At 34.6% G+C, this 12,097-nt stretch overlaps 1 protein-coding gene and 1 long non-coding RNA gene across 18 annotated transcripts in view; one reads left to right on the top strand and one right to left on the bottom strand.

Moving 5' to 3' along the window:
- Positions 1–12,097, bottom strand: part of SYT1 (synaptotagmin 1) — a 588,027-nt gene that overhangs the window by 370,939 nt on the left and 204,991 nt on the right. The gene's annotated exons all lie outside the window — the stretch shown is intronic.
- LOC105369863 (uncharacterized) overlaps positions 1–12,097 on the top strand; it is a 197,856-nt gene that overhangs the window by 21,810 nt on the left and 163,949 nt on the right. For both annotated transcript variants that reach the window (XR_007063385.1, XR_007063384.1), the window contains one exon: positions 1–12,097. This exon is cut by the window's left edge. This is a non-coding gene — a long non-coding RNA (uncharacterized LOC105369863).

The following is a 12,097-nucleotide window of genomic DNA, read 5'->3' as shown; positions in this document are numbered from 1 at the left end:
CCCATTCCCACCACCCTCAGCCTCTGCACTGACCTAACATATAGCTCTATACCATCTGAAGAGTTTTACAGCATGACCTAAATCCCCCATCTAGTCACAATAGTATCCTCTTTAATCTGCTTTTATCATAAACCCATGTCTTGGCTGTAGACACTCTCCAATCTCACATCCATTACAGGATTCCTAAATTCCTTGTCCCATCTGTCATCTTAAACTGTTTTGACGAAGTATTGAAAGTGGAAGGTACTAACCTAGTTAGTCTACAGCATCCTTGTGGCTGCTAGGCAGCCTCTCGGGAGCTGTTATATCCAAGTAGATGGCTTGTGGACTTGGTAAGATCTGAATGCCTTTAAGATAATAGAGTCTAAAAATTGTCTGGTGTAATTGCTGCTAATTTATATTGGAGCCAGTACATTCTCATCAATTTTTGCTTGTGATATTTAGCCTATAAAACCTATATATTCAACCCCACCATCTTTTTGTGATTTTTTTTTGTCTTAAAGATTGAAGAAAATGTATTTATATGTATATCCACCAAAATCCATTGTGATTCCTTTCAGATTCAGATTTAGGGACAATAATTTTAGTGTAGTGAATGGCTTTTCTTATATTTTATAGCAGAACTTTCTCTAACTCTCCTTGGACCTGAAGGTTAATTAATAATCATTAAATCTGTTTTGCCTGGTGCCAAATCATTTAGATAAAAAATGAAATGCTCAGTTAATCATATTGAGGTTCGTGGTTGTCAAATATCCAGATGTCCCAAATATGCAGATGTCTGATATAATATAAAAAGAAATAAGTAATTTGCATAATTCTTTCTTTCTTGTCCAAATACACAGATTTTATATCATTGGATAAATGTCTATATACTAAATCCTCAGGCTGTTTTCCTATAGGACCAATAAGTTAATATTAAACATAAAATGAGGATTAGTCAAATGCTTAATCTCATTGAAAGAGCAGAAAGTTTGCTATTGAAGAAGTGAAGGTTTTACTTTGGTAACAATGACTCACTGGCGAATAATAGAAAATATTGTACTTTGAATTTAAGATTCTCCTTAAATTAATTAAGATTGAATTAAGATTAAATTCAATCTTAAATTTGAATTTAAGATTGTTATCCATAACAATCAGCAGCTATGTAAAAGTACTGATCTTATTTTTAAAGTATTATCCTTGAGTCAGCACAAAGGACAGATGGCCCATTTTTCATGTTTATGGATCTATTCAATGTTAACAGCCACTACAACTTTAAGATCTAAAATCTGTTTTATCACTTCAGTGTATTTTATTTTGGTCAATGTCAACTGCAAATAGTTCTTTGAAATTATTGTGGCCTTTCAAATGAATAAAATTATTTATTTATATGTTCATAACATAACGTGCATGTTTCAAAGGTTCTGTGGTTGATATAGAACATTGCTACAATGAAAGAAAAAATAAAGGAATTCAAATATCTGAAAATGTCATTTCTACTATCATACTTTGATACATTAATTTTATTTGATATATCTATGTATAAAATATCTAGGTAATTAATTTAAATAACAACATATATATCATAATTTAAATGAGATGATAATCTGTATTAGTGGGGATTTAAATTTAGCTAGATAAAATTTCCTATTTTACATTCTACAAAAATAATCTCACAAATACATGTCAATCTTCTTATAAAGTTCCAAGGCTTTTACATCTTGGATTCAGGGGCTTTTGATATACCTAATGCTTCATATAGCATAGGAACCATTTAAATCACTCAGTGTATTTTTAATATGGATTATACATCAAAGTAAAATTATTACTGTATTAATCTCTGTGTAGGGAGAGGTGAAAGTCAGTTGAAATCGTTCTCATGTTCTTGCCAACTTGTGACAATAGTTTTGCCAACTTGTGACAATAGTTTATTAGACTTATATTTTACCATGATTGCAAGTTAAATATTTTCTATTCATTCTTTAGTTATAGGGTATTCCAAACATCACAAGCGCTAAACATACTGGGGATTCAGGGTTGTAGCCTAAATTAGTCCCCTGTCAGAACAGAATTTTTAGGTGGATCTCATGCATTCTTTTAAATTAATGTGCCTTTTAAATTCTTCCTCTTAATATAGCTGAATATATTTATCACTTACCATTGAGTACAATGGACTCTCCATGAAGTCACACCATACATCATAAGTATCCATTTGCATCCAGGGGCAAACAGTATGTATAAAACCTTCTTGAAACTCTAAACCAGGAAATAACGCTCCCGTTTCTTTCTGTGTGTGTGTATACACAAACTGATGTATTCTTCTCTTAAAAGGCAGTTTTTTCATATGGACACATGGAGGGAACAACACACACTGGGGCCTTTTGGGGGTGGGTAGGTTGAGGGAGGGAGAGCATCAGGAAGAATAGCTAATGGAGGCCAGGCATAATACCTAGGTGATGGGTTGGTCTGTGCAGCAAACCACCATACACAGGTTTACCTATGTAACAAACCTGTACATCCTGCACATGAACCCCAGAATTTTAAAAGTTGAAGAAAAAAACAAGGAGGTTGTTAGTATTAGAAAAAAAATAATGGAAAATATAAAAAGGTTAATTCCTTCAGAGATAGGTAATTATGTTGTTTTATTAAGTAATTATTTTATTAAGCTCCTACTGTATGTCAGGCACTAAACTAAGTGCTTTATATATATTGGCTATTATAAAAGCCCTAAAAATGACCTCTGCTAGAGAAGACACTGATATTCTTAACTATTTAGAGATGAGAAAATTTGGGGGCTGAAGAGGGTGAGATCCAAGAACAGAGTGAAGGTGAGGGGAGAAGGCACGCTCAGCTCCCAACTCTAAGTCTAAAGTCAACTTGCTTCTTCCCCAACATTGCTCTGGCTCTCAAGTGATAGTCAGTAGGATAAATTACAACTGGACAATGACCAGTGAGTAAAGGGAAAAAGGCAACCTTAATTTTATAGTTCTAGTGAAGCTTATTGAAATTTTAGAGAAAAAAAACCATTTCATAAAAAACAAGTTTTAAACACCAAAAATGTATTCTTAAATGTAGTTTTACAAAATTGCCTCTGTACCTACTAACATAAAAACTAATGCAAAAATATTTCAGAAAACATATCAGAAAAAAATGTGAGTAGTACTTTTTAATGATTTAAAATTTAAATGTAAAAATTTATCAAACCAGAAAAAAAAAGCATACAATTTTTTAAAAAGGGCATGGTATTTCTAATAGGGCCAGCAAGATAGACATGATAATACTGAATGGCCCAATGCTTATTTTTATGTGACATTATTTTTAATCAGCTTTTCATAGTTCCCTTCAGCTAACAATTTGTAGGAAAAGCAACAACACATTGAAAAGCAGAAAGTATGTAATGCTCTTGTCAAAATTTATGTCTTTAATTAATTGTCATTTATTTCTTGCAAATACTGCACAGTTGACCCTTCAATACATTGCTTAATATCACTTTATTTTAAAAGAAGAATATTCATAATTTGCCTCAATTCCTTTCCCATTAATTGCCCAAGAACATGATAACTTACCCAAATAACCACCTAATTTCCCTCACTATTTGGATCGGTCAGAATGGGCCAGAGAGCCATTTCATCAACAAGAGACAATGGAAAGGAAATGGGCAAGAAACTGGAAACTAGAAAGTGTACCTTCCCTTGGTCCTATCCAGTGTCAAATGGTAGATCTCTGTGTGGTTACTGTGAGCATTGAATACAATAGTGTGAATGCACTGTATCATGGAAGAATAAGCAGTATGTTTAATATCAGAATTAGGTGGATGGCAGTGCTTTGTATCTGGGCAAAGTAGCCCATTTCTGGAAGGAATATAGCAATGTTGTAGGAATAAATAGCTTCTCATTCTCTAGAGGTGGGGCTGACAGAAACCAAGCAGGAATAAGGCTTTATCCAAGAGAGCTCAGGGCAGCAGCAGACCAAAGTAGAAAATTCATGGTGGTTAATGCAACAGCTGGGACAAGGGAATAAAGGCATGCTGAGATGCAGCCTGCACTAAAACACCTGAACTTTGTCAAGACTGGCTCAGTAATTGACACAGTAGATCCAGCAAGTGGAAAATCCAGAGAAGAGTTGGGGTTAGGGGTAGGAAGGAAGACAGGCTAAAAAACATCTCTGTAAATACTAGTGAAATCTAGGCATGGAAGTCTGCAATGACAAGCCCACTGCCTCAGCCTCTCGCATAGCTGGGACTATAGATGCGTGCCACCATGCCCAGCCAATTTTTGTATTTTTAGTAGACAGGGGGTTTCACCACGTTGGCCAGGATGGCCTCGATCTCCTGACCTCGTGATCCCAAAATCCTCCCAAAAACCTCGTGATCCCTGCCTGCCTCGGCCTCCCAAAATGCTGGAATTACAGGTGTGAGCCACCGCACCCTGCCTCAACAATTTATATTCTTATAAATATGCTCGCACTGAATGTTTTATATTTATAATATCTACTATGAAAAGCAAAAACAGAGGACCAGGGGTCACAATTGCATTTCACCTGATTTGGTTAATTTAGAAAATTCTGAAACTTTTTATGTATTCACCTACAAATAAAACAGTAAAGAATGGATAGAAAGTATGAGAGTAACAACATATAAAATAGTATATTATTTCTTTTTAGAAAATTTTGGTAACATTCTATTTTTTAAATATGGAGTTCAGAACACGCTACCACAAAATAATGTATCTTGGCATTTGAGGAAACAACAGAAGCAAGAAGGTCACGGTCACCTTCCTTTGATTTTTCTCCCCTGAAGCAGGTCATAAAACCCTCATTCTAGAGGTGCCTCGCTATACCCAGAGAAAAGAAACATCCTTATCTCTGAAGGAACAGGGACACAGAGGAGAATCTGAACAAATAGGCCCTCCTAAATTCCCCCAGCTTGTTCCATTAGATCACATCATACTTCTCCACAACTATCCACTTCTTCATCAAACTTAGCAAAAAGGTCATAGGTTTCCCCGTTCCTTTGCTCTTCACTTCTGAAGGTTCCTGTGTTCTGTAATGTAATTTTATGACATGTCATAAAATTTTTATTAAAAAATCTGTGTGCTTTTCTCTTGTTAATGACTTTTGTTATAAAGGCCTCAGCTACAAACCTAGCTATGGGTTAGAAAAGAAATCTTTTCTTCCCTACAAGGTTGATATAATTTGTGATTTATAATCATCTAATATATATTCACTTCTAATTTGCATGGTTTTCTTTTCTTGGGGTTTTCAAAAAAATCTGTGTATGACTATGAAGATAGAAATCCTGAGAGGGCAAAATTATGCTGGGGATCGTTTAAATTGTATCCGATTCTATAGGCTTGAGATTTTTCTAAAGAGAAGGGCATCTGCTAAATGTGATGAATAGTTGTATCACAAACTGCAGAGGTGTAGGTGACCTTCAAGATCAAATAGCCGATATTCTTATTTTACAAATAAGGAAACCAAGACTTGGGGATTAAGGTCACACAACTGATAGTCTAAATGTTAGATCTAGAATATAAATGTTAAAGCATCAGATGTACTTCACCACAGTGAAAAAGACGATTCTGTGTTTCATCTTAAAGCCCAACCAAACATGGCTCTATTTCCTTATATCAGGAAAGTGTTCTTTGGCAACTATTCATCAAGCTTTAGAGACAGACACTTGCTGGGAAGGAAAATCTAAATGTCTGCTAGGGCAAGGCCAAAAAGTCTATTTGGATTAGCACAAAAAAGAGAGAGAGAGAGAGAAGTTGTAGTGAGTATAAGGTGAAAGCCTCAAAAGAGAAGTAACAAAGATGGAGAGTAGGCCCACAGACCAAAAAGAGAAATTCACTATGAAATTCAAGAGCCTTGAAGATTTTGCCCAAGAAGCAAGAGATTGAACGAACTGATGGGGGAACTCCTAGTATCTCTTTTGCATCAGTATGTAAAATTAAAGAGATTAGACATATATTAGTTAAGGTTCGCATTTCTGCAAATATAGGGCTTGTTCTTCTAATCCCTGGTTCTGGAAGTGTTATACAATATGTGTATGGTACATCTAATTAGAGATCCTTGAGATCCAGGGTATTTACGATGATATTTTTGTTTCAGGACTTCACAGTGAAGTACATAGTATTTTTTGGTTATATTCCTACTGCATGGAAAACAAGAAGTAAAAAGCAATATCCAACCAATCCCATTATTGAGAAGAGGGCAGAACTTACCTTATCCCTAAGTGTCTCAGCCCTGCCAAATCCAAAGAGGGAAGACAGGGATAATAAAATCTGGAATCACATTCAGAATTGGGCTTGAATGAAGCCCAAGAGCATCAGCTGATGCTCAGAGAAATTTAGTCTATCAGGCAAACCTTGGCCTGTGTCAAGAAGCATGATAATAGCAGGGTACAGGTCGAGGGGAAAGTCAAGAATAGGAGTCTGAGAGGCTGACATAGGATGTCGCAGTTCATAAGTAAGCAAAACTCAAGAATGAAGGATGATTCATATTCTGACATTTTATTCAGAAAATTTTATCAGCAGGTGAAATTCTATCAGCAACTGGGCTAGAAATCAGAGAACAAGTAGATTTTTAAAAGACTTAATGAGAGGATAAAGGTGGAGTTCCAGGCTTCTAGAGACTAGTTGTGGGAAGCTACACAGTTAGAGATTTAGGCACAAAGATGGAGGCAGAACCTCAACACAAATGCTGCATGTGTCACTTGGATCTGGAGCCTTTTAAACCTCTCATTTACAATTGGCAGGGCAGTACTGAATACACATGTTGGGGCCATGTAGACCACAGCTGTGTGGAGATGAGGGCTGCAGGAGTGAGGCAGCATACAGTGTGATAGAATGTTAAATAGAGGACGATTTTCAAAACAAAAGATGAGATTAACATATTGGGGTATTAAAGTCCTGTATATGGTGTTATTTTAAAGATTAATTACTAGTAAATCCACAGGATCTGATTAGAGGTTTCATTAAATAAAAACACTCCAGAGTCTTGGTCTCTATTGCAAAATGCAAAATGTGTGAATATCTAACATACTTATGGAATGTGAGCACATTATTTTTTATATATGGAAGCTAATGACTGGAATGAAAGCAGAACAATTTAGTTAAATAAGCAAATGATCAAAATTGACAACGTGAGGGTAAATAAGGCCTGAATTAAGTTGCTCATTATTTTTTCTTGCAGCAGACATTGCTTTGTGTTTGGTTTATAAGTAAGCTATATATGAAGACAGATAGGTGCCTGTGCTGAGAGGCAGAGATAAAGGGAGAGACAGAAAAAGAGAGTCAGGTAGACAGAGGTGAGCAGATACATACAGCTGAAGGTCATGTTTTGATTAATGTCGAAGAAGTAATTCTGGCCAACAACAAATACTGCAAGGGTAAGCAAAAATTTGCTTTTCTCCTTCCTCCCTCTACTCCAGTTCACTGGACTCTCTGTTTCTGGAGAGACCTACCATTCTTCTGCCTCAGGGATTTTCACCTGCTGTCCTTCTAGCCAAGCCAGGAAGACTCCGGTGGCTTGGACCACATGCTCACTTTCTTCAAGTATCTGCTGAAATGCTTCATTATTGGAGAGGTCATCCCGCTGATGTATGGAGTAGGGATTCCCCACTCCTCACAACATTCCGAATTCGCCTAACCTTGCCTTATTTTCTCCAAAGCATTTATCACCATATAACATACTACTTTTAAAAATGCCTTTATTTGCTATCTCCTCCTGTTAAGATGGTTTGATGGAGCAAATGAAAATACAGGGCACCCAGTTAAATTTGAACTTCAGACAAGCAACAAAAAACTTTTTAGTTAATTATATCCTATCCAGGCATGGTGGCATGCACCCATAGTCCCAGCTACTAGGGAGGCTGAGGTGGGAAGATGGCTTGAGTCTAGGAGTTCAAGGCTGCAGTGAGCTATTATGGCACCACTACACCCCAGCATGGCAACAGAGTGAGACCTTGTCTTTTTTTAAAAAAAAGAATAATTATGTTCTAACTATTGCATCAGACATATGAAAAATATTATTACTTGTCCTTGTCATTACCTATTCTGACAACTTATTCATTGTTTAATTATTTAAGTGTCCCAAATATTTCATGGAACATACTTGTACTAAAAATTTATTTGTTGTTTATCTATTATTCATCCCGTTTCCCTTCCTTCCCCTTACTCCTTCACCTAGAATTTAAGCTACTTGAGGTTAACCTATTTGAGGGCAGAGACTTGGAACATTGTGTTCATTGCTGTGTTCCCAATACCTTGACCGGTGCCTGGTATAGAGCAGAAACTCAACATATATAAATTGAATGAATTAATCGTTCCATTTCTCTGGAATATCCATCCCATCCTTAATTCTCATCTTGTTTAAATCTCTTAATATAATGATTAAATAGAGTCTCTTGCTGTCATGGAAAACATTTTGTTTTCTCTGCAAGTTCTAGCATATAGTTTGGAATTTGCTGGATACAGTAAGTTTGTAACATTCAACTATGGTAAGCAAAAAATTGAAAATATTTTTGCATACCATTTACGCATTCTTAGACACTATAAAAAACTCAAATATTAAACAATTTTCAGGTTGGATATGTATATAAATTTAAATAACTTATAGATAAAATGTGTTAATCTTATGTACGTATTTATGCTTATGTGTCATATTTTCAAAAATTTCAAACTTTATTATAGTCACATTTTTGACTTTGAAGTTTATTATATTCACATTAAATGAACAGGATGTCATTTAATACTCCTCCTCATCTCTGGACAAGATTTTATCATTCTATTTCATTAGTCTCCCAGTATGAACAAACTACGAAAGAGAGAGGTTACACAATATCCATGATTATTCTGTTTTAGAGTGTTGTTGCTCTTTTTTACCCCATCTTTAATTGGTAATTAAATTTAGTTTATCTTTTTTATTGTTCATAGAAGATAATCCTTTTTATATTTAAAGACAGAATAAGAAATTCTACAGATAACAATGAAATAATGACAGCTGTGTATATATATGCCTATATATAGAACTGTAAACTGTAAAACAATATGTCATTTTATTCTCTGATGTTTTAATTAAATCATTACCTTTTAAATTCAGAATGGCAGAAATCCAGTGTTTTAATGAGCACCTAGCTGAGTAAGTGTTTTGTGTTGAATTGTGCCTCTTAAAAAGATATGTTGAAGTCCTAATCCCCGGTATCTATGAATATGACTTTATGTGGAAATAGGGTCTTTGCAGATGTAATTAAGGTGAAGTCATTCTTGAGTAGGGTAGGCCTTAAGTCCAACATAACTGGTGTTCTTAAATGAACAGAAGAGACAAAGACAATGAGGGAAGACAGCCATGTGAAGACAGAGGCAGCAATTAGAGTTATGTTGCCACAGTTAAGAAGTGCCTGGGGCTACCAGAAGCTGGAAGAAGCAAGGAAGGAGCCTTCCCTAAAGGAGTTCAGAGGAAGCACTGCCTGACTGACATCTTGAGTTTGGATTTCTAGTCTTCAGAACTGTGAGAGAATAAATTTCTTTTGTTGAGGTTATGCAAATTGGTGGTTTGTTATGGTAGCAAACAAATATAGTAGGCATTTAACCACATTTAGGCTTTGGGATACAGTTTTCTGATCTATAGTAGTGTTTATTGTCCACAGAAGTATTAATAATTACTTCTTTCCTTGTACTCTTTTAGCACAGATTTATTATATTTGGGTTCCCCCACTCTCTTAGACTGTGAGCTTTTTAAGGACAAAGTCCATATCATTTGTTATTGTAACTTCAGAACTCATAATAGTGTCTGGCATAGAAAGTAGTAAATAAAATCTTGAATTAGCCAATAAATTATTTTTAAATAAAATTTACAAAGATTTCTGTACACTTCCAGCCAATAATATACTGAAGAAGGATCTGTTGCTCTCAAACACACACCCTGAATTCTATTTTTATTTTGTTTTTCTAGTTATTTAAGTATTTTTTGAAAAGGATGAGGCTCAGCATTTCAAGATATTTGTTTCTTTTGTCTATATATCTTCACTTTTGAAGGGCAGAACCCTCTTCCTTTATTTAGAGTTTGTGTTTAGAGGGGAACCGAGGTTTGAGTTATCTACTCTTATGTACACACAGCGTAGACTATTTTTTACTACTTGCAGCTATTACTTATCTCAAATTTTGGCTAATTGAAACAAAACCAAACAATTTTCTTTCTTTTTTTTCCTTTCAACTTTTATTTCAGATTCAGAGGGCACCCATGCAGGTTTGTTACAAAAGTATACTGCATGATATTGAGGTTTCGAGAATAAATGATCTGTCACTCAGGTAGTAAGCATAGTACCCAATAGGTAGTTGTTCAGCCTTGCCCCTGTCGCTGTCTTTCCTCTTCAGTAATCCCCAGTATCTGTTGTTCCCGTGTTTATGTTCAAGTGTACCCAGTGCCAAACAATCTTTAGTACATCTTTCTAGTTTAGCTTTGCAGAATAAAGTAAAACTTTAGAAAAAGAAAAAAAAGAAGAGAAAAACGCCTAAAAAATTGGTGTTGGAAATAGGAACTTAGAATAGAAGTGTAACCTCAAATACAAGTATAGCCACAACATGGATTCACAATAGCAAAGAATGCTGCATTTTTAAGAAAACAAAAAGACCTTCAAGGTTAAAAAAAGAGATAATGCAACGCTAATAATCAATTAGACTAAAAAAAAATGAGCCTGAAAACCATAATCTGACTTTCTTTGTCCTTGGGCAAATTAATTAGCCATTAATTTCTCACTAGAAATTGTTAATAAGAGCAAATGTTCTCTCAAGAGTGTTGTTAGAATTTCTTGAGGTCTATAAAGCATTTTGGAGGCAAAAATGTTGACTTGGCAAATGCTATTCTCACACTGATGGACATGTATCTAGATTCCTGGGTCTATCTTGATCAGTTTGTATGCCACTCATTGGGTGTATTGGTAGATCCACTACGGTTATATAAACTAGCAGAAATGCTTGATAAACCGCCTTCAAAGAATAGGCTTTGGTTATAATAGAAGCATTATTATTTACCTATGACACCTTAATTAGCTTTTGAAAAATTTGAAAGGATGAAAATGAAAGGCATTTGAACACTCTTATAACCCTGCAAAGCATTATGTTCAAGGTTATATTTGAGCATCTCTTTATTTTTCTCATTTATTATTTATTGATTCTGTTGGACAATGAGACTTAATTCTATTCTATTCAATTTTTCCATTTTGCATCTCAAAACAGCAGTATTTGTATTTTTGGAAACATAAAAGTAAAAATTATTCTTTCACCCAAACACTTTACTCCCATTAAAATAAAAAGAGTAACACAACAGTTATGTTTGCCAAGAGGACTGAGATCCAGAAAGGGATTTTAACATCTGACTATATCCTTATTTCATACTTATTATGTGTTCATTTGTAAACACACGAGTATTTTTCTATCAATGTCAAGTCACATGTAAGTCATAGTTAGTAGCCATCTTTCTACATTACAGGGATTTTTAGATTCCTTTTTATATTTTTAAAATTTTGAATTAGTATTAAAATTAATATTATAATATCCATAAATAAAATAGAAAAATCACTTAGAGTCTCAACATCCAAACACAATTGAAAAAAAATAGAAACATGTATAGACAAATATAAAAAGAACATATGTTCTGAAAAAGTCTGTGAATATTTTCAACAAATACATTTAAATAAGAGCTTAAGTCAGCATTATGGCCTTAGTTATGTATGTAATGTATTTTGTGAAGCCTAAAATTATAGAAGAAACAGTGCATAAAATATGTTTCTGATTAACTTGTCTACTTATGGATTTAAGTTTTGTTTTTAGCTGCTGTGGTTTACACTCTTGTGAAATCCTTACCAGAAATATTACCTGTGGTCTTGGTTTCACATTGTTCATCACCATTTATAGATGAACACCTGCCATTCCTGTTCTCTCTCTTCTGAAAAACACATTAATTCACTACAACAATTTACCCATAAAACTATAATCATTAACTGCCTTTCCTTTATTGAACTCTAGAGCTTTGGCTTTATAATTCTATTTGGCCTGTATATGCAGGAAGAGTATTGAAATGGTCTATATTTATTTCTTCTCTCTGACATAGATGGAAACAG

Source organism: Homo sapiens, chromosome 12, assembly GCF_000001405.40.
Source record: "Homo sapiens chromosome 12, GRCh38.p14 Primary Assembly".
Lineage (NCBI taxonomy): Eukaryota > Metazoa > Chordata > Mammalia > Primates > Hominidae > Homo > Homo sapiens.
The sequence above is the reverse complement of the archived record's forward strand: the minus strand, read 5'-3'. Positions and strand labels throughout refer to the sequence as shown.